This window comes from Homo sapiens, chromosome 7, assembly GCF_000001405.40.
Source record: "Homo sapiens chromosome 7, GRCh38.p14 Primary Assembly".
Lineage (NCBI taxonomy): Eukaryota > Metazoa > Chordata > Mammalia > Primates > Hominidae > Homo > Homo sapiens.
The window spans coordinates 31,622,118-31,645,749 of record NC_000007.14 but is presented as its reverse complement, the minus strand read 5'-3'; the positions used below and the strand labels follow the sequence as shown (position 1 = coordinate 31,645,749).

The 23,632-nt window shown below is 39.8% G+C and overlaps 2 protein-coding genes across 16 annotated transcripts in view; one reads left to right on the top strand and one right to left on the bottom strand.

Moving 5' to 3' along the window:
* The window catches only part of ITPRID1 (ITPR interacting domain containing 1), a 144,631-nt gene that overhangs the window by 12,971 nt on the left and 108,028 nt on the right, over positions 1 to 23,632 (bottom strand). For all 8 annotated transcript variants that reach the window (NR_047565.3, XM_011515213.3, XM_017011872.3 and 5 more), the window contains 2 exons: positions 3,492 to 3,574; positions 1,797 to 3,068 (listed from right to left, as the gene is read on the bottom strand). Coding sequence is in view for 7 of the 8 variants with exons in the window: in XM_011515213.3 (XP_011513515.1) it covers positions 1,797 to 3,068; positions 3,492 to 3,574 (1,355 nt within the window). In the remaining variant the exon portion in view is untranslated. The remainder of the gene's footprint in view (positions 1 to 1,796; positions 3,069 to 3,491; positions 3,575 to 23,632) is intronic.
* Positions 1 to 23,632, top strand: part of PDE1C (phosphodiesterase 1C) — an 811,448-nt gene that overhangs the window by 782,475 nt on the left and 5,341 nt on the right. For 4 of the 8 annotated variants that reach the window (XR_007060044.1, XM_047420443.1, XM_047420442.1 and 1 more), the window contains one exon: positions 15,911 to 15,994. Coding sequence is in view for 3 of the 8 variants with exons in the window: in XM_047420443.1 (XP_047276399.1) it covers positions 15,911 to 15,955 (45 nt within the window). In the remaining 5 variants the exon portion in view is untranslated. Of the gene's footprint in view, positions 1 to 15,910; positions 16,079 to 18,556; positions 18,651 to 23,632 lie in introns of all 8 variants that reach the window. The other 4 variants (XR_001744802.1, XR_007060042.1, XR_007060043.1 and 1 more) reach the window with 2 other exon arrangements.

The following is a 23,632-nucleotide window of genomic DNA, read 5'->3' as shown; positions in this document are numbered from 1 at the left end:
GACAACTAAAAATGTCTCCAAACATCACGAAATGTCATCTGGGAGTTCAGGGGTGGGAAATTATCCCCAGTTGAAAACCATTTACTTAGGGCATTTAAAATCCCCTCAACAAATGATGTAAATAATGATGATGGTGGTGGTGGGTGGTGGTGATGATGGTTATGGTGATGACGACCCTACTGTTACCCAGGATTTGAACCAAAGTCTTTTGATACTCAAGAACCACCCAGCATACATTAGGTTTTGTTCTTTTCTTCCACTGAACTTTTGGAAAATATACCTAGAACTGATCACTATGCCTAAATGAAGCTTTCTCTTACCTGTTCAACTCTCACTAATATTAGGTTCATATAAAAATATTCCAAATGCCTGGGAGTCTTGCAATTAAAAAATGATCTGATAAATTATTTAAACTTTCCTGTAATCACTCTCTTTACATCACATTTATGTAATGTGATTTCTATACATTGAAAGGCCAAGTAGTAATTTGCTTTATCTTTCAAATAATCACTTTCTAATGTTAATTCTACACTTACATAGATTTAGATATTTTAAAGTCGGACACTTCTTTGCTTATACTGTAATGTCAAGCAATTTACTGTTACCCAAATTGAATCTGAATTTGGACTTCCCACTTAGTCATTAGGAGGCATTGAGATAATTATTTAAACTCTCTCAGTTCTAGTTTCCTTGTCTATAAAGGAGGAAGGACCTGGCATATATTAGGAGCCCAACAAATATTTATGGAATGGATTAAAATGAAGGTTAAATGACATAACAGAAAATGGTCAGCATAGACACTCACTAAATATTTGTGGAATTAAGAGAATGGGAAGGTAACTCAGTAGGCACTAAACAGAAGGTGCTCAGTAAATCGTGGTTCCACTTCACCCCGCTCTGAATAGCTGCAACCTATATTCTCTGTGCCAGCCCCTTCACCTTTTCAACTCTCTATACAAGTGGTTTTATGTGCAATAGTCTTAATTTTTTAATCAATGGCTGGCCCTGAAAGCCTAGATCATTTCTTACCTTAAAAACTTACTAAAAAGGAGGTACTGGAAGGGCTCATTAAACAATTACTGATTAATCAAGGGCTAGAGAAGGCTGGAGCCATTTAGTCCTCAGTAACTATAGGGTCCACCTTTAAATAGGCTCAGCAAAGGTAGACCAAAAGCCCCTCTATTTGACGTGGGAAGCTCTAAGTTCAAGACCTGAACAATGTAAAACAGTCACAAAAATTGATTATAAGAGTAACACATATAAGAGTAACACACCCACACAATTAACATTACCTAGAGATTTCCATGTGCCACATGCTGGGCTGAGTGCTTTACAGGGTTCTTCTTATTTAATCCTAAAACAATCCTGTGTCAGTGCATGAATAGTCTCCCTATTTTACAAAAAGATTAAATGGCTTGTGCAAGATTATATAGCTAAACGAATTTAAGACACAGAACTTCTCAGCTAGAACTGGAGATGAGTTACAGATGCATTAATGCTTATAACCTTAGACATATGAATGCATGGCTCTACCCCTTAGTTTTCCTTTCTGTAAAATGATGATTAATGATAAAATTTGCTTTGCTTATTTCTAAAGGTGATTGATTGGAAGTATCGAGAAGAAATGTGTGATACTATATCATAAACAATAAAGCACTCTACAAATGTTATTCATGATTTAAAATAGAAAAGTTTGCCCTGAGATCTTGCATTCAGCAAGGAAGTCTGAATATTATCCCTGAGGTGTTTATCACGGGTGCATCTGCCTTTCCATCTTTGCCAGGGTGAACACTTACGGAACATAGCTCCCTCACTGTAGTGTCCTGAAGGGCTTTCAAAGTCGTCATGAACTGGGCTTCCTGGTGACCAGTTAGTGAACACAGGCAGTGCCTACAGACTGAGGGTTCAGGGCCAGGGCTTTGCCTCTCCCCGTGGCAGTGAGGGTGGTGATGACAGCAGATGCAGCAGTGGGCAGGTATAGCATGGCAGGTGCCCATTGGGCAGATACTAGAGAAGCCTGAGTCTAGAGAGACGGATTTGGTGAGGGGCTGGGGCCCATGTGTCAAGGTCTTGTTGCTTAGAGCTGAAGTCTGAATGGAAGCATCATTTAACTGTCTTGCTTTTGTCCCCAGTCTTGTTTCTGTTGCGGTAACAGGATCACACACAGTGCATTCTAAAGATGTTCCTCTGGGACCAGTCCCCAAGGCCACAGCCCTCTGAGCAGCCGACACCAGGCTGGAGGACATCTGGGTCATTACAGACCTGGAGCTGCCAGTATTTAGAGGAAGGTTTTCCATCTCAGCTTCTGTCCCAGGTAGTATCTGACCCAAAGTACCAGACCTTGACTTCACCTGGGCAGGATCTCCAGGCAGTTTATGGAGGTGGGGAATGAGCTTTTCAGATGTTTGAGCAAGGTCAGTTGCATAAGGTGTGATTTCACTGTGCTTGGGGATACACTGTGATGAGCTTTCTGGTACGAGTAAGCTGTGGTTGGTGTGAGGACAGAATCCACTGCTTTCCTCTTCTCGTGGGGCCTCAGAGTCAACATGAAGGAACTTGTCTTGAGTATGATCATTTCCAGGTGACCTTTGAGACTCATTGTGGTGGCTTTGCACTTTGCCAGCTCCCTCAGGCCTCACAAAACTGTCCTGCATTTCTGTGACGTGGGTTACCATAAACCCCAGAGGATGATCATATTTGGAAGTGGCTGTGGGTCTGGTGACCTCATACTCAGCATGGGGCATTGGCAGAAGCTGCCACAGATGGCTGTCTTTCCTTGGGCATTCTCCCCTCGTGGTGGTCTTGGCACAGGCCATGTCTGGGATATACAGCTCTGGTGGCCCCTCCATGGCCTCAAGCAGAAACTCTTCCTCCATCACAGATACTGAGGCCCTTTGTTCCAAGGCATTCGCTTCTTGGCTTGAAAAAGACATGCTCGCCCTACTTTTGGAATCTGGCCCATCCGACTCTAGCTGACAGTCCTGGGATGATACTAAGCTGTGGCTCTGATCTCTTGGCTTTCTACCTCCATTCTCAGCAGGACTCTGGCTGTTTGGCAAGGAAGGCATCTGTAGGGGAAACCAGGACAAAGGGAAACAGGTCAGGAAGTGGAGGAGGCAATAGGTTTAAGGTGAGATTTTCTTCTTGTCATTGCCTTAGGAGTCAGGAGATAAGGGTTGCAACATCAGGTTTTGCATCTGTTTACCTCTTTACCAAGGTCCTCCTCTCTAGGAGGCTCAGCCTCCTTGCTTAGAAAAGTCAAAAGGAAAGGAAGGCCACACTTTCCGGCACCTTGTCTAATATGACTCCATCATCCTCTGCCCCTTGGGTGCAGGTGGCTTGTGCCTTCTCAACCTTTCCAATTGTGGCTTGATTTAAAACACCCCTCTTTCTGAGTTAGCTGTGAGTGAGGTTTGGGTGGCAGCCTGGTTGATAGGGCTGAAGTGGGATGTTAGGGATGAGCAACAGGGCCCTGTTCCAAACCCTCCTACCTGGAGGGGCAGCGGTTCCAGCGGCTCCTCCAGGAACCCGCTGCTGTCAGACTGGCAGCTATTTGCTCTGTCCACCCTGGCACCTGCAGAATGAAAGAGGTCTTGAGGTTATTAAAGGGAAAACACGCAGCCAGCAGGACTTGGATCAACCCCTCTAGGTGCCTGACACACCATGGATCCTGCAGAAATGCCCACTGTGTGGAAGAAAAAACAAATGAGGGAATTCCAAGGACATTTTTTTCTCGATTGTCAGAGAGTTCAGTTAAAATTGCATCACTGGTTTCCTGATACAAAGAATAAAACCTGAAACGAAGGAAGAGAAACTAATGTCTCTCAAAACCAAATAACAATATGGTTGTGAGATGAATCTTTACTAAGGGAAAGAAAATCCAGAAGGAAACACATATGCCTTAAATGCCACACTAATAAAATAATGAAAGACCACATTTTATATATTTGTGTGTGTGTATATATACATATTCTTGTTCTTTTTACTAAAGTTTGGATAAGTACCCTTTGCTAGCTTCAGCTGGACTATTTCTATGACTACAAGTTTGTGCTCATGTTTTAGATCACTGCTCTTGCCACCAGAAGAGGCTGGGACATGCAGAGAAAGGGCAAAGTCACGTGTGGGCAGGTTATGACTTTGTAAACAGGAGCATCCATGAAATGTTAAATCTATCTGTAGATTCTTACGTAAATATTAAGTTATATATTGTGGGGGAAATAGTTGGCTACCAGAGTGTCACCATGCTAAAGATTAAATTATGGATTTTTTTTTCTCTTCTTTAATGAGAAATGCTTTCAGTTATACCACAGTATAGGCTCTAATAGGAAGTCTCTCAGGAGGAAGGGGGTTGCAAGGTGGCCTCCTTAGAATACAAGGAGCAGAGGGAGGAGCCTTGTCTGTCCTGGGAGATTAGGTATGTGTGTGGGAAGTGAATTAAGGGGAAACAGTTGATTGTCCATAGATACAATGCTTGAGTATTTGGTACCTAAGTGATAAATAGGGGATTTGCCTTTGCTTGAACAACTGCTGACGAAGAGTTCAAGGGAGGGAAATGATCCCAGCCTCTGCTTAGATCTCTGCTGGACCTCACCTTGAAGGACAGTTCCACTCACAAGAGCAGCATCATTCTTCTCCCTGTAGACAACAATGCCTGAGAGCCTTAACGGTCCATGTGTCTGAGCAAAGACAGCAAGTGGAGACAGTCTCAGAGCTGGCCAACCCAGCCCAAACCCCAGCTACCTCAGCCTGAGGCCAAAGTCAAGAGAAAGTAATGGCTCAATTTTGTATAATTAAACATTATAAACTCCACACTCTTTAATTCAGCCTCAAACAAAACTAAAAGCTAAAAATCAGAGGGCATACATTTTAAAATAGCTCAATCCTAGAGAGATTGAGAAACTTTGAGCAAAATTTTGAGAATGCATATTTTTGACCTAGCCATTGCCTCTTGTTACACAGTTAAGGGTAAAAAAATAGAAAATATTTGCAAGTCATAGATCTAAATGAGACTTCTGCTTCTGGAAAGCTGTAGTAATAGGGACTAGATTTTTCCTCCTACCCGAACCAACTGAAAAACTAGACAAGATATGTGGAAAAAAAAAAAAAAGTTTTTCGAGACAATGGACCTCAGACAGTTACAGACAGCAGTCCTTGAGAAACAGGAACAAGTGATCTGAACCCTATAGTTACCCAGCTTAGCGCTTTGAGAGAGTTTACAGGTCTTGGCATGAGAAGGGGGAACCCAGGCTGAGCCTTGCAGACACTTGAAGCTGAGGAAACAGAGCTAGGAGTCCAAAAAGACTGAGCCAGCTAGAGTTCAAAGGGCACACAGAGGAGAGGAAGGAGCTGCACACAGAGAGAACTCTAGAGGGTCTCTCTTGAGTATTCAGCTGAGTACTGATGAGCTCATGCATGTGAGAAACCACCAAAAGCTGGGAAGAGAACCATCAGAAAGGATCAGGGGAAACACTGCCCAGTACTCATCCAGAGCCTGGAATAGGGAATGTGCCCACCAGCCAGATGCAAAACCTCCTATTTCACAGGACATTGAGGGGTAGAATACTCAGAAGTGTCTTGCTTCAGGAGTAAGAAATAATTAGCCTTAGAATGACCGCTGCTCTGGTCCCACCTAATGAGCCTTAAAAGCAAGACCTGAAAGACTTAAACTGTTTCCAAGTAACTTGTGTCCAAGACATAAGCAAAAGAATATTTATGGGAATATAGTACTATCTACCACCTATATGGTAAAATCCAAATGTGTGGCATATATTAAAAAATAATAGGTGTGCAAAGAAGCAGGAACATATGATCCATTATGAGGAGAAAAATCAATCAATTGAAACCACCCTAAGACTAATGCAGATCTTAGAATTATCAATTAAGAAAGAGCATTAAAACATTTATTAAAACTATATCCTGGGTACAGTGGCTCACACCTGTAATCCCAGCACTTTGGGAGGCTGAGGCAGGCAGATCACGAGGTCAGGAGTTCAAGACGAGCCTGGCTAACACAGTGAAACCCCGTCTCTACTAAAAATACTAAAAATTAGCCGGGCATGGTGGCAGGCACCTGTAGTCCCAGATACTTGGGAGGCTGAGGCAGGAGAATGGCATGAACCCGGGAGGCAGAGCTTTCAGTGAGCTGAGATTGCGCCACTGCACTCCAGCCTGGGAGACAGAGTGAGACTCCATCTCAAAAAAAAAAAAAAAACAAAAACAAACAAACAAAAGAAAAACTATATCCTGTATGTTCAAGAAGCTAGAGGAAAGATGAACTATGTTAAGTGGATATATGCAAGATATTTAAAAAAAACCCAAATTGAATGTCTAGAGATGAAAACAACGTCTCCAGTAAAATTTATACTGGATATATATAGCAGATTAGAGACTGCAGAAGAAAAGATTAGTGACATGAAGACATGGTCATAAGAAGCTATCCCAAATGAAACATAGAGATTTAAAAAAAGAAAATACTTTTTAAAACGAAAATGCATCAGCAAGTGATGAGACAAGTCCAAGTAGCCTCAGGTATAGGTAACTGAAAAATCCCAAAGAGGAGGGAAAGCTTTTGAAGAAATGTTTCAAAGAAAAGTTTGTTTCACAAAGTCCAACAAACTCCAAGCACCAGAAACATGAAGAAAACTACACCAAGGCACATGAAAATCAAATTACTGGCTGGGCGCAGTGGCTCACACCTGTAATCCCAGCACTTTGGGAGGCCGAGGCAGGCAGATCACCTGAGGTCAGGAGTTCAAGACCAGCCTGGCCAACATGGTGAAATCCCGTGTCTACCAAAAAATACAAAAATTAGCGGGTGTGGTGGCAGGTGCCTGTAATCCCAGCTACTTGGGAGGCTAAGGCAAAAGAATTGCTCGAACCTGGGAGGTGGAGGTTGTAGTAAGCTGAGATTGGGTCACTCCACTCCAGCCTGGGCGACAGAGCAAGTCTCCATCTCAAAAAAACAAACAAACGAAAAACAAAAGAAAGAAAAATTACCCAACACCAATGACTTTTTATAAAAACCCTTAAAATCAACCAGAGAAAAGGAACATTACATATCGAGTTAACAAAGATAAGGATGGCAGATTTCTCATTGGAAATAATCCAAGTAAGAAGACAGTTGAGTAACATCTTTAGGGTATTGAAAGGAAAAATCATGTGGGTAAGCACTGAATATTTTATTTATTTATTATCTACATCTTTAAAAAAGATAATTGACTATTTAAACAAAAAAAATTAACAATGTCGTGTGGGATTTATAACAAAAACCTAGAAAAGTCTACAAACATAAACACCTGTTATTATAAAACCGGATAGTTTGTAGAAAAGGTGCTGCCTGATTTTCCTTTAACTCTGATGTGCGACTTTTACAGAGCCTTTAACCTGAGTAATAGAACAGCTGTTTAGTGTTGTCAGAGGAAATAGTGTATACTCACTATATATTTATTATAAGAAATTTACTAGTGTAATATTTAAGACTTCACTGCCTTTGTTATAATTAGTTCAATCCATATTAAAACTTTTCAGTTTCCTTTAGGGTTAGCAAAAATACCACCCGTTTTCCTCCTTATATCAACTGTGGGTACAAAATTCATGATGATTCTTGCAGTAACCTTTCAAAAGCTCAATGCAGAACTTTAAATGTTTTTTCAGTACTATGCAAATGGCCCTGCACACTTTGGTGGGAGCCCCTCTGCTTAATAACCTGTTGAGAGGGCAGCCCATCCTGAAGAATTTTCCACATGAACTTCCTGATTCCCTATTTAATAAATGGTGTTGGGAAAACTGGCTAGCCATCTGTAGAAAGCTGAAACTGGATCCCTTCCTTACACCTTATACAAAAATTAATTCAAGATGGATTAAAGACTTACATGTTAGACCTAAAACCATAAAAACCCTAGAAGAAAACCTAGGCAATACTGTTCAGGACATAGGCATGGGCAAGGACTTCATGTCTAAAACACTAAAAGCAATGGCAACAAAAGCCAAAATTGACAAATGGGATCTAATCAAACTAAAGAGCTTCTGCACAGCAATAGAAACTACCATCAGAGTGAACAAGCAACCTACAGAATGGGAGAAAATTTTCGCAATCTACTCATCTGACAAAGGGCTAATATCCAGAATCTACAATGAACTCAAACAAATTTACGAGAAAAAACAAACAACCCCATCAAAAAGTGGGTAAAGGATATGAACAGACACTTCTCAAAAGAAGACATTAATGCAGCCAAAAGACACATGAAAAAATGCTCATCATCACTGGCCATCAGAGAAATGCAAATCAAAACCACAATGAGATACCATCTCACACCAGTTAGACTGGCGATCATTAAAAAGTCAGGAAACAACAGGTGCTGGAGAGGATGTGGAGAAATAGGAACACTTTTACACTGTTGGTGGGACTGTAAACTAGTTCAACCATTGTGGAAGTCAGTGTGGCGATTCCTCAGGGATCTACAACTAGAAATACCATTTGACCCAGCCATCCCATTACTGGGTATACACCCAAAGGACTATAAATCATGCTGCTATAAAGACACATGCACACGTATGTTTATTGCGGCACTATTCACAATAGCAAAGACTTGGAACCAACCCAAATGTCCAACAACGATAGACTGGATTAAGAAAATGTGGCACATATACACCATGGAATTCTATGCAGCCATAAAAAAATGATGAATTCATGTCCTTTGTAGGGACATGGATGAAGCTGGAAACCATCATTCTCAGCAAACTATCGCAAGGATGAAAAACCAAACACCGCATGTTCTCACTCATAGGTGGGAACTGAACAATAAGAACACATGGATACAGGAAGGGGAACATCACACACCAGGGACTGTTGTCGGGTGGGGGGAGGGGGGAGGGGGGAGGGATAGCATTAGGAGATATATCTAATGCTGAATGATGAGTTAATGGGTGCAGCACACCAACATGGCACATGTATACATATGTAACAAACCTGCACATTACGCACATGTACCCTAAAACTTAAAGTATAATAATAATAAAATTTTTAAAAAAAAAAGATCCCTTTATGTGCTTCTGGGCCCACAGCCTGTTAGTTCTCCCTCTGCAGTAGACAAAGTATGGGATAGGAGAGCGTGAGACAGGACTAACTTCCACTTCTCACTCCCACTCCCAGACTATATAGGCATTAGGGGAACCAAAGATATTCAGCAGAAGAGGTTGAGCCTTGGTAAAAGATGGACAAGACAGACTTTCGAACCTATTGCTTTTTCTATATGTTTTGATGCAAGACTTGTACAACAAACTGAAGGACTCTCCATACATCATTATTATTATTTCAACTTTTCAAACAATCTCGAAGCAGTTACTATTCTTGAATATAAGCTTCATATGCAATGTTTGCTATTAACCCTCTTACAATGAATGGATGAAATTATACGTTAGAACACTAGCACAGAGTGATATGTTAGAGCCCATTTGTCCATGTGCTGGCTAGTTTATACCAGTCTGGTTGATATGGCATAGCTGTGTCCCCACCCAAATTTCATCTTGAATTGTAGTTCCCATAATCCCCACATGTCATGGGAGGGACCTGGTGGGAGGTAATTGAATTATGGGGGCGGTTTGCCACCCCCATGCTATTCTTGTGACAGTGAGTGAGTTCTCATGAGATCTGATGGTTTTATAAGCATCTGGCATTTCCCCTGCTAGCTCTCATTCTCTCTCCTGCTGCCCTGTGAAAAAGTGCCTTCTGCCGTGATTGTAAGTTTCCTGAGGCCTCCCCAGCCACACAGAACTGTGGGTCAATTAAACCTCTTTTCTTTTTTTAAAAAAAATTATTTTAAGTTCCAGGGTATGTGTGCAGGATGTGCAGGTTTATTACATAGGTAAACTTGTGCCATGGTGGTTTGCTGCACCTATCGGCCAATCACCTAGGTATTAAGCCTGGCATGCATTAGCTATTTTTCCTGTTCCTCTCCTCTGACCCCCGCCCTCCCCTTACAAGCCCCAATGTGTGGTGTTCCCCTCCCTGTGTCCATGTGTTCTCATTTAAACCTCTTTTCTTCATAAATTACCCAGTCTTGGGTATTTCTTCATAGCAGCATGAGAACGGCCTAATACACTGGTCCAAATGAAAATAAACAACTACAAAGGGTCCCTAAAAGGTAGAAAGAGTAATTTCCTCCAAAAGAGGTATACTTGTGATATAACTGTTGCCTTTCATTAACTGTACTTGTGTAAAGCACAAAAAACAAACCAATGTTTGAAACTCAAGCAATAAAAAATCAGACATTGGGAACCTCACTTGAATGATGAGATCAAATGGTGGAATTGGGCATAGTTCTCTCAGGTGTAGAGGCTTATTTATCTTGTGTTTGTTTTAGAAGTGAAATGCCTGCATGTCAATCGTTTTGAGAGATTCACCAAGCAAAATGTGGGCCAGGTTACTGATGGTTTAGTTTCTTCAAGAGGCTAAAAATCCTTTCTCTTTATAGAGTACCTTCTCAACAACCAGACTATGCACATCTAGATGTAGGATTTCCAAATTCTAAATATTCCCTTAGAGTCATAGAAATTAAATGAGACAAAGGATGAGAAATCACCTAGCTCAGAATGGCCATGATGGATTATTAAACAAACAGACAAATACAAATGTACATCATTTATCACTCCCACACCCTCACACCTAATATGTAATATAACATATCACACCTAATATGTAATACATTGCCTTTAGGGAAGGCAATATGGCATCTGGCAAGAGTAATGGCAGTGGTACCAGCACGCCTGGCCAATCCCACCCCACCCAGTTCCTTCAGCTAGCTAAGCCAAGACTAGGGGAACTTGAGACGTCTCATTGCCCTCAGTGGCATTTTCCCTAGGCACTCAATATGCCGAAGGAGCCACAGTTCTTCCTTACTCTGCTCCAGTGGGGCCTTGACTTCCCACCTGGCACCTACCAGTCCTTTTCCTCCAGCTAGATCTTATCACCTAAGCATTCTATTGCCAGCTGAATCCTGTTCCAAACCAGTTGTGTAAATGGAATCCTTCACCACCACCAAGCCCTGCACAATTTTTTTCATGCCTCCTTAGACTGCTGGTTCCCCCATCCTGCCTATCCCATAGCTTAAGGGGGTCCACTTCTGTACACTGGATGCTATTGAAATCTAGTTAGGCTCCATGCTGAACCATCTAGAAAATTTGAAGCCTGCTCTACTGGAGTCTGATTCTGACTCTCCTACTTAGAGGCTGTGTGATCTGGAGCTTGCCTCTTACTCTCTCTGAGTCTGTCCCCTCATAGGGAAAGTAATGAATATGGTAATACTATGTTACTTGTGGGGTTGCAATAAGGATAATATCCAGTAATATATTTCTAATAATATATAGGCTACATAATGTTATATGTAAATTTTTGCTGCAGGACATCATTATTAATATTATCTGTTATAACTCAATCTTCGTATCATTAATAATAATCATGGTTAATACTAATATTAATTAGAAATTACCATTTTCAGCACACAAGTGTCTTCATGGAGATGAATTTTACCCTCCCAATTAGGGGGACCCTGCTTGGGGCAGGACTACTCTACTGACTTGTAAGTTGGGAAACATTTCTGCCTAGGAGGAGACAGACGCCTCAGGCACTTTGTGGGAATAATCACCAGATGGCAGCATTACACCAACCACAGAGTGGAAGAACCTGGTCCCTGCCAAAGGACCTTTGGAATGGCTAAAATTAGTAAGAAAAGTCAACCTGCTTTTCTGGGCTGGGCTGGTCTGGTAATAAAAGCTTCTGAATTCTAGGTGGAAAGTTCCTGTTTAAAATAGTCTGAGTTCACAGAAGCTATAAAATTGAAAGTTACATGGGAAGAGGGAGAAAAAGCAGAGGTGATGGGGTGTCAAGTGTGATAAAGTTGTGTAGAGCAAGAGAAATGTTTCAACCTCAGACTGTTTGAAGTTAACTGTCTTCATCAATCAATTCTACTTTAACTATTTTATGGTCAAGTTCCTATCTCTTCTGTCCTCCAATGGTACAAAATTCTGTGACAGCTCTGTGGTGAAGCTGAGTCACCAAGCAAGTTAGCCTAGAGTTGGAATGGACATTAGAGATTAGGCAAATGCCAATGCCTTTAAGAGCTGGGCAGGTGGCATAAATATGTGAAACAGCTAGACTTCAGGACAATGGGCGGTAGTGTGAATTGTTCAGACCAGAGAGCAGTTGTTCCTTCTAAGGCATTTTACAAAATTAATTTTCAATGTTTTGTAGAACAAACAAAACCTCTCTATGTTCCCCAGGTTGGAAGACAGGATGGTGCCACCTCCCTTCCAGAACACTCCTTATAGATGGTCATTTAGCTAGTGCTTACTCACTTTTGGTGACAAGCAATGACTCCTATCTGGTCAGAGAGCATCATACGTTTTAGGAAATTCGTCTTTGTATTGGCCACCTCTACCTTAGCATTTTACATTTGTCGGTCATAGCTCTGCTCCTTGGAGTAGTGCAGAATGTGTCGAACTCCTTTCCCAAAGACAGCTCGCTTGGACTCTCCAGGCCTTTCTCCTCAGCGTAAATCTCCCCAGACCTGGCCGGTCGCGGTAGCTCACGCCTGTAATCCCAGCACTTTGGGAGGCTGAGGCAGGCAGATCACGAGGTCAGGAGATAGAGACCAGCCTGGCCAACATGGTGAAACCCTGTCTTTACTAAAAATACAAAAATTAGCTGGGCATGATGGTGCCCACCTGTAATCCCAGTTACTCGGGAGGCTGAGGCAGGAGAATCACTTGAACCAGGGAGTCGGAGGTTGCAGTGAGCCAAGATCGCGCCACAGCACTCCAGCCTGGCGACAGAGTGAGACTCTGTCTCAAATAAATAAATAAATGAATGAATAAATAAATAAATAAAAATAAAAATCTCCCCAGACCCTTTAAATCAGCTCTCACAGGGCAGGCTTTTCAGGCTGTTTGTGTCTTGTACTTTTGAATAGGCTCTTACTTAATGCTTGCTGTAAAACCTGTCACCCAGCTGGGCTTCAGTAGTAGGGATGACGGTCTGACCAACATGGAAACGAGGAGGACTGCTCTTTTCCTGCTGCTAGATTTCACTTCCATACACACAGCCTAAGGTTGTGTTAGTTTAGTCAGAAGTTGTGTTCCCAGTGTTGGGTTACACTGATATCAGTCTCTATTTTGAAATCAATAAATAAATGTTTAGAAACCTAAGTGAATGGTTTAGTTTATATCCTTGTGAAATTTGATCTAGCTTGTTTGGGACCATGGTTCCATCCTGTCATGGATAATTTTTATTTTTATTTATTTATTTTTTGAGAAGGAGTCTCGCTCTGTCACCCAGGCTGGAGTGCAGTGGCACAATCTCGGCTCATTGCAACTCTGCCTCCCGGGTTCAAGCGATTCTCCTGTTTCAGCCTCTCAAGTAGCTGGGACTACAGGCACGTGCCACCACGCCTGGCTAATTTATTGTTTTTTTAGTAGAGATGGAGTTTCACCGTGTTAGCCAGGATGGTCTTGATCGCCTGACCTCATGATCCACCTGCCTCAGCCACCCAAAGTGCTGGGATTACAGGTGTGAGCCACCACGCCCTGCCTCTGTCAAGGATAATTTTAATCTTCATTCTGAAATTGATCTGTGTTGTCTATGGCATTGAAAAACATTCTTGCTGTAGGACAAGTCACTGTTAATATTCTGAAGAGAATAAGCCACAGGGAAAGAGCATGGTGGAACCTTCTACTGGAAGCCTTCATTCCTAACAGGTGGTCACTGGGACCTGCAGGGCCCTCTGCTGTGCTGGACACTGGTCGGCCGGCGTCATCAAAGGTACCTGCCATCACGGAGCTTGTATATATCTTGACTCTCATCCTAAAACCGAAGAAAGACTGAAAATAGTAGTAGTTATTGAAAATAATCCTGAGACAAGCTAATTATTTTTCTATGCCAAAAGTCTCAGGCAGAAGAGTCTCTATCCTATGAAGATTTCTACGTAACATTTGAATTACTTCCATTAGCACTCTCCTGAGGTTTTGGTTTCAAGGTCTTACAGCCTAGGAATTCTTCCCTTCCTTTCTTCCTCCCTTCTTTCCTTCCTTCCGTTGCTCCAGGTCTAGCAGTCCCTTTGTTCTTCAGTCAAAATAACCTTCCTTCATCATTAAAGAAAAATCCGCTTCTGTAAAATTAACTTATCTTTGGCTCAATACTCTTGCTTTTCAGTATGATAGAAGTAATACAAGGTGGTAAAGAAAATTTGGAAAAATAAAAAATCATAAATAAAAAATAAAGATCATTATAACCTAACCACGTAAGAAAATGACTAAAATCTTTCTATGTATTTAGGGCATTTTGTTTGTGCACATTTATATGTCTGTGTTTTGTAAAATAATAATCCTAATACACATTTTATATCTTGTTTTTCATATAATGTGAATTTTTCTTATCAAAAATTATGATTTGTGTGTCTGTGTGTGCACGCACGCATATGTGTTTGTGAGCACATGCCTTTTGCCCCCAGATTTTGGTAGCATAATTGTGCCACTTCTGTAAAAAACAATTGATAGGTTTCTCTTTTTTTTTATCTGCTCTTCCGCAGTTTGGAAGGCTTAGGTAGTATTATTTTCTTATAATGTTAAAAGAGCTTAGCCATAAAACTGCTGACAATGGTATACCTTAAAAGATGAAACTTTTTAAAAACTTTTAATTTCTTCAATAGTTATTGATATTTCTGGATACCTACTTCTTGAGTTAATAACTTGTTTTTCTAATGTCACCAACTGAACAATTTATGTTCCTTCCATATTCTCTAAAAAGACTGTTTCTACCTCTCATCCTAGCTTTGGTCTTATTTCATACATTTTTGTATGTATTTTTTTCTTGAATTCAGCACTATCTAATAATGTTGTAATTCCTGTTTTCTTTTTGTTTTCATTGACATACTTTTTGGTATATTTTGCCCATTCATTTTGCTTTTAACATCTCTTTGATTCTTTATTTTAAATGTAGATAAAATTTCTTAATGACCTTTTGAGTCTTTTTCTTTGTAGGTTCATTTATTCCATCTATAACTATTTTCATAAGCTATATATTTAGTCTTATTGTTTGTAATTTTATATCTATTTTTATAACTGATTGGTAAATATGTGACATACTCGATGCAGATCTTCCCTGTTGTTCTGAAAGTAGGCATCACTAATAATCCATAATCCAGTCTTTTCTGCTGAGCTGAAATTCAGCCTCAGAATCTTTATTAGTTCAACATTACTAATAGCTAATACTAATCAATGAGAATTGGGACACAAGTTTTAATCTATTTGTCATCCTACTGATGTATTAATAAAGACAGAGTATAACTTCACATTTAAGTAGGCCTGATTTTGAACTGCATCATAAATTGTTATCTCAGAGACTTAAGTGAGGATTAAAGGAGATAATGTAAAACACTTAGCATAGTTCCTGGCACTCAATATTTGGTAGTATTACTAATATGATTAATTTTCAATGTTTTTTTTTTTTTTTTTTGCCAAGTAGACTCTATTTTCTTTGATTGCCTCTTTTCCTCTGGTAATTTAGAACTCATATAACAAATACTATGTTTTTAAATTTAATTAGTAGTAACATCAAAAATTCAAACATATTTCAAACACCAAGAATTAAACAAGTACCTATTAACTCCCCAATTAATCAGTATTTGTTGACAATTTCATTTTCTTCTGTCATTCAGCTTTCTATGATATAATCTAGGATTTTAGATCTAGCAATTTTGTGTGTGTGTGTTTCTTCTCTTTTAAAAATATTCATGATATTTATTATATTTATATCATGTTTGTATATTTTACAATTCTTTAGACTTTGCCTTACCTGTCCTTTTAAGCAAGACTTCCTAATTCAGTACGCTGGTGTACATCTTTGACATTTCTTTTTCAGGAAGAATATATGGATGCTCTATTTCCTGAGGCCTTTCTTATCTGAAGTGTTGCTTCATATGACAACTTGAAAGGCACACAATTCGTGAGTTGCAAAATTTCTACTTTAAAATACAACTATGCACCTCCACTATCTTCTGGCATCTAATATGAGGATGCTTTTTGAGAGGTGAGTGAGCAAGGAAAACATTCTCTATGGACCCATGGTCTGACCATTGTATTTTGAAAGATAAAATTCGCACTGCTTCCTCTAGCATCTTTTCATATCATTTTCTTAAAAACTGTCATATCAAAATACTACCTTAAAAATTGTTGAAAAATATCCTTTAGAGTAATATGTTCAGAGGGCACAACCTAATGATAACTGTTTCTATTCCCCCTCCCTACAAGCTGTGTTTCTGTCCAGGGGAAGGAAAACAGGCCATTGTGCCTGGAGCTTCGTGGCATGGAGTAATCAGGGGTTTGGTAATGCAGGGACTTGGAATGAAGCAAGTTAGAATCTTAATCCAATTAAATATTTCTGAAACAGAACATTTATATGAATCTATATAAAGATTGTGTTGTTTAAACACACATATCTTCTTTGTCTACATAGATACTTAGTAGATATTCCTGAGACAAAAAGGAGGGCAGATCCGATTTTGAATAGCAAATGTGCATGCAATGTCCTGGAAGAGTGCAATGACAAATTTTAATTTAGATCCAGTGCTTACTCATATTTTACAGAAATAGAAGGATAGAAGTTTCCAGGGCTAAGTGAACAATGTCCCATGACCACCTGAGACAATAGATAGGTTTCAAATTTTGTAACGCCAATTTTTTTGGAGACTTTAATTTTTCTACTGATTCAAGTACCACAGTTCTAGTGATAACCAGTCCAAATGTTTTTTTGTTTTTGTTTTTTCCTCTTGTGAAGCTAGCTGGGAGGAAACATTGTCCTTGTTGAGTCCACTGGTTGATTGGCAGGGATTACATCAAATGTTCAGACAGTAAGAAGAAATAGTGCTTTTACAAGGCAGCCCATTTCCTCACATTTCGTAGTTACCAAGCTGAAGAACTAAAGTTTCCATCAAGAATCACGCTCAGGCCGGGCGCGGTGGCTCAAGCCTGTAATCCCAGCACTTTCGGAGGCCGAGGCGGGCGGATCACAAGGTCAGGAGATTGAGACCATCCTGGCTAACACGGTGAAACCCTGTCTCTACTAAAAATACAAAAATTAGCGGGGCGTGGTGGCGGGCGCCTGTAGTCCCAGCTGCTGGGGAGGCTGAGGCAGGAGAATGGCGTGAACCCGGGAAGCAGAGCTTGCAGTGAGCTGAGGTCGCGCCACTGTACTCCATCCCGAGTGACAGAGCGAGACTCCTCAAAAAAAGAAAAAAAAAGAAAAAAAAAAAAGGAATCACGCTTGTGTTTCTCTTCCTAGCTGCATTCTGGGGGACAGATGTGGGATTCCTGGCTCCATCAGAGTCAGAAGGCATTCTCAGGGAGACCAGTCGTTTGTTGGCTATTCTCTATTTGTCCTTCCTTGCCCCTGTTACCTTCTATTCTGATCATTCTCTGCCCTGCCTGTGCTCCAGGCTTTCTCTTGTGTTCCATCAATGGGAGGCACCGGTAGGAGTAGGAGATTGAAGGGCAGAAGAAAGAACATGGATTATTTATTGACCACTCCCTCCTTCAGGGCACTTTTTGAAAATGGCTGCCGTCCTTTATTGTGAGAGCTCTTTTTGAGAGGTCTCTCTTCTCAGGCTCCAACTTTCACAGGCTCCAGTAGTCGGCTCCCTCTGCTTTTTTAGGCCTGGGGTGACAAAGACTTTCTGCTCTTATTAACCTTGAGGTGCTTCCACATTTCTTGTTGGTTCCTTGAATCCCACCCACTTCAGTAAATAGCCCCTTTCTAAAACTCTCTTCAGTTAAACCCTTTTGGATATGCTCTTTCTTGCCTGAATGATACTCATAGTACAATAACCAGACAACTTAGTATTCACTTAAAATTGTATCTTTTCATTTTAATTCCAATTAATCTCCTTTTTAATAAAAAGGAAGTTTTTGTTTTTAGGGACATAAACCACCCAAGCTTAAAAGAAAGATGTGCAGAGGACTGAGACACTGCTTTCCATTCTGTCAAGTTTAGTCACTTTCATTTCTGACCTGTTTACTGAATTTTTTTTTTTTTTTTTTTTTTTTGAGACAGTGTCTTGCTCTGTTGCTCAGGCTGGATTGCAGTGGCATGATCGCAGCTTACTGCGTAGCCATGACCTCCTGGGCTCAAGCAATCCTCCTGCCTCAGCCTCCTGAGAAGCTGGGACTACAGGTGTGCACCATCCCATTGGACTAATTTTTTATTTTTTTGTAGAGATGGGGTATTGCCATGTTGCCCAGGCTGGTCTTGAACTCCTGGGCGTCAGTGATCCTCCTGCCTTGACCTCCCAAAGAGCTGGGATTATAGGCATGAGCCACCATGTCTGGTCTTCACTTACATTTTGATGATTCTCTAAAGAATATCTTCCATGATGTCACTCTTTTTTGTTTGCATCCCCAATATTACTTTTTACTGATTCCAACCCATTTTAAATTTTGATAAAATTATTTGATGTAGTCTCACTTATTCATGTAACAATCATTTACTGATTGATTGGCTGCTCTGTGCCAGGCACTGCATGGACAACGGGGAATACTGAAAGACACAGCCCAGCCATTGAGGAGCTTCTCCAGTGGACAAAATCCAAATAAGGATAAAATAGATGGTAATGGAAAACACTAGGAGTACTTTTGAATTGTATTTCATAGTAATAAGAAATACTCCAGAACACCTTCCTCAACATATGTGTTTTAGACATACATAATTCATAAGGCATACTGCCTAAGCATTGAAATAAAATAAATAATCTTCAAGCTGGGTGACCATCCACTTTCTAGAAGAAAGCTTGCTATATTTATTTGTTTATCCCACAAACAAACATTTTTCTGTTGGGTGCTTACTGTGTGTTAGGCAATGTGCTAGATAAGGGGATACAATGGAGACTAAGACTGTGCCTCTGCTCTTTCAAAGTTTATAGGCTAATGTTCTGAGAATGAACTCTGAGCATGTGTAGTAGTAGCCCTTATAAAGATGAAAACTGCCACAACAAGAGTTTTGGGGCACATTTAAAACTAAGTCCCTTTAGGGATCCAGAAGCACTGACTCCTCCTTTACAGCATGGTGTCACCGACATGTCAAAAACTGTTTTGATTCAAATGCTAAAAACTATTCAGAAGAGAAATTCTGAATAACTACTGCAGGAAAAATATAAAATTAAACAGTTGTATCCATCTTTGTGATATTCATGACAGCAAAGGGAAGCATACTACAGAAAGGAAATAGTAAAATGCAAACAGAAATATAGTGGGAAAACTTACTTCTATCTAAATAGTACCAGATTAATTATGATAATTTTAAAAGTTATCAGTGACACTTCTTAGAACATAAGGTTACACACCCAAAGTTAAAGCATGATTATGGTCACTAGGTGACTTTTTACCAATGAACTCTTCAAAAGGAGTTATGCAGTTGGCCTAATTTTAAAAAGCAATTTTAATATCTTTAGTCACACAAAGTATATTTCATTACTTTATGTGATGTTATGATTCTTTTTTAAAGAACTTTGCTTTTACAAAAAGAAAGCCCAAAGATGCATACACATAGTCACAGATTTTTAGATGGGATTCGTTTTCCTTTTTTCTTGGTAAAACATGTTTTTGCCAAGTTTACAACCCACTTGAACTTCTGTCTGTTCTTTGATTTTAGAATCAACTTGGAATCCTTTTAACACTGGAAAAATCATAGAGTTAGTCATAAAGTTTTTTTAAAAGTCATAGCAAAGTTTACTGAAGATATTTATTATCACCAAATTATCTGTAAATAAAAACCCTTCTTACTAACATTAGGTGTACCTGTATCTGAAATACAATGTTTCAATTTTAGATGAGATCACTTTATTTTAAGCATTTATAAAATAGCTTTATAAAGAAAAAATTTAAAAAAAAAGACATTCTAAGGAAAGCTTATTCTAATTCTTTAACTGTTTTTTTTTTAATTATACTTTAAGTTTAGGGTACATGTGCACAATGTGCAGGTTAGGTACATATGTATACATGTGACATGTTGGTGCGCTGCACCCACTAACTCGTCATCTAGCATTAGGTATATCTCCCAGTGCTATCCCTCCCCCCTCCTCCCACCCCACAACAGTCCCCAGAGTGTGATGTTCCCTCTCCTGTGTCCATGTGTTCCCATTGTTCAATTCCCACCTATGAGTGAGAATATGTGGTGTCTGGTTTTTTGTTCTTGCAATAGTTTATTGAGAATGATGATTTCCAATTTCATCCATGTCCCTACAAAGGACATGAACTCATCATTTTTTATGGCTGCATAGTATTCCATGGTGTATATGTGCCACATTTTCTTAATCCAGTCTATCATTGTTGGACATTTGGGTTGGTTCCAAGTCTTTGCTATTGTGAATAGTGCCGCAATAAACATATGAGTGCATGTGTCTTTATAGCAGCATGATTTATATCCTTTGGGTATATACCCAGTAATGGGATGGCTGGGTCAAATGGTATTTGTAATTCTAGATCCCTGAGGAATCGCCACACTGACTTCCACAATGGTTGAACTAGTTTACAGTCCCACCAACAATGTAAAAGTGTTCCTATTTCTCCACATCCTCTCCAGCACCTGTTGTTTCCCGACTTCTTAATGATTGCCATTCTAACTGGTGTGAGATGATATCTCATTGTGGTTTTGATTTGCATTTCTCTGATGGCCAGTGATGATGAGCATTTTTTCATGTGTTTTTTGACTGCATAAATGTCTTCTTTTGAGAAGTGTCTATTCATGTCCTTTGCCCACTTTTTGATGGGGTTGTTTGTTTTTTTCTTGTAAATTTGTTTGAGTTCATTGTAGATTCTGGATATTAGCCCTTTGTCAGATGAATAGGTTGCGAAAATTTTTTCCCATTTTGTGGGTTGCCTGTTCACTCTGATGGTAGTTTCTTTTGCTGTGCAGAAGCTCTTTAGTTTAATTAGATCCCATTTGTCACTTTTGGCTTTTGTTGCCATTGCTTTTGGTGTTTTAGACATGAAGTCCTTGCCCATGCCTATGTCCTGAATGGTAATGCCTAGGTTTTCTTCTAGGGTTTTTATGGTTTTAGGTCTAACGTTTAAGTCTTTAATCCATCTTGAATTGATCTTTGTATAAGGTGTAAGGAAGGGATCCAGTTTCAGCTTTCTACATATGGCTAGCCAGTTTTCCCAGCACCATTTATTAAATAGGGAATCCCTTCCCCATTGCTTGTTTTTCTCAGGTTTGTCAAAGATCAGATAGTTGTAGATATGTGGCGTTATTTCTGAGGGCTCTGTTCTGTTCCATTGATCTATATCTCTGTTTTGGTACCAGTACCATGCTGTTTTGGTTACTGTAGCCTTGTAGTATAGTTTGAAGTCAGGTAGCGTGATGCCTCCAGCTGTGTTCTTTTGGCTTAGGATTGCCTTGGTGATGCGGGCTCTTTTTTGGTTCCATATGAACTTTAAAGTAGTTTTTTCCAATTCTGTGAAGAAAGTCATTGGTAGCTTGATGGGGATGGCATTGAATCTATAAATTACCTTGGGCAGTATGGCCATTTTCACGATATTGACTCTTCCTACCCATGAGCATGGAATGTTCTTCCATTTGTTTGTATCCTCTTTTATTTCATTGAGCAGTGGTTTGTAGTTCTCCTTGAAGAGGTCCTTCACATCCCTTGTAAGGTGGATTCCTAGGTATTTTATTCTCTTTGAAGCAATTGTGAATGGGAGTTCACTCATGATTTGGCTCTCTGTTTGTCTGTTATTGGTGTATAAGAATGCTTGTGATTTTTGTACATTGATTTTGTATCCTGAGACTTTGCTGAAGTTGCTTATCAGCTTAAGGAGATTTTGGGCTGAGACAATGGGGTTTTCTACATATAAAATCATATCATCTGCAAACAGGGACAATTTGACTTGCTCTTTTCCTAATTGAATACCCTTTATTTCCTTCTCCTGCCTAATTGCCCTGGCCAGAACTTCCAACACTATGTTGAATAGGCGTGGTGATAGAGGTTTCAAAGTTTTCCTTTGAAAACTGTCTTGTGCCAGTTTTCAAAGGGAATGCTTCCAGTTTTTCCCCATTCAGTATGATATTGGCTGTGGGTTTGTCATAGATAGCTCTTATTATTTTGAGATACGTCCCATCAATACCTAATTTATTGAGAGTTTTTAGTATGAAGGGTTGTTGAATTTTGTCAAAGGCCTTTTCTGCATCTATTGAGATAATCGTGTCATTTTTGTCTTTGGTTCTGTTTATGTGCTTGATTACATTTATTGATTTGCGTATATTGAACCAGCCTTGCATCCCAGGGATGAAGCCCACTTGATCATGGTGGATAAGCTTTTTGATGTGCTGCTGGATTCGGTTTGCCAGTGTTTTATTGAGGATTTTTGCATCAATGTTCATCAAGGATATTGGTCTAAAATTCTCTTTTTTGGTTGTGTCTCTGCCCGGCTTTGGTATCAGGATGATGCTGGCCTCAGAAAATGAGTTAGGGAGGATTCCCTCTTTTTCTATTGATTGGAATAGTTTCAGAAGGAATGGTACCAGTTCCTCCTTGTACCTCTGGTAGAATTCGGCTGTGAATCCATCTGGTCCTGGACTCTTTTTGGTTGGTAAGCTACTGATTATTGCCACAATTTCAGATCCTGTTATTGGCCTATTCAGAGATTCAACTTCTTCCTGGTTTAGTCTTGGGAGGGTGTATGTGTTGAGGAATTTATCCATTTCTTCTAGACTTTCTAGTTTATTGGCGTAGATGTTTGTAGTATTCTCTGATGCTAGTTTGTATTTCTGTGGGATTGGTGGTGATATCCCCTTTATCATTTTTTATTGTGTCTATTTGAGTCTTCTCTTTTCTTCTTTATTAGTCTTGCTAGCGGTCTATCAATTTTGTTGATCATTTCAAAAAACCAGCTCCTGGATTCATTAATTTTTTGAAGGGTTTTTTGTGTCTCTATTTCCTTCAGTTCTGCTCTGATTTTAGTTATTTCTTGCCTTCTGTTAGCTTTTGAATGTGTTTGCTCTTGATTTTCTAGTTCTTTTAATTGTGATGTTAGGGTGTCAATTTTGGATCTTTCCTGCTTTCTCTTGTGGGCATTTAGTGCTATAAATTTCCCTCTACACAGTGCTTTGAATGTGTCCCAGAGATTCTGGTATGTTGTGTCTTTATTCTCGTTGGTTTCAAAGAACATCTTTATTTCTGCCTTCATTTCGTTATGTACCCAGTAGTCATTCAGGAGTAGGTTGTTCAGTTTCCATGTAGTTGAGCAGTTTTGAGTGAGTTTCTTAATCCTGAGTTCTAGTTTGATTGCACTGTGGTCTGAGAGATAGTTTGTTATGATTTCTGTTCTTTTACATTTGCTGAGGAGAGCTTTACTTCCAACTATCTGGTCAATTTTTGAATAGGTGTGGTGTGGTGCTGAAAAAAAAATGTATATTCTGTTGATTTGGGGTGGAGAGTTCTGTAGATGCCTATTAGGTCCGCTTGGTGCAGAGCTGAGGTCAATTCCTGGGTATCCTTGTTGACTTTCTCTCTCGTTGATCTGTCTAATGTTGACAGTGGGGTGTTAAAGTCTCCCATTATTAATGTGTGGGAGTCTAAGTCTCTTTGTAGGT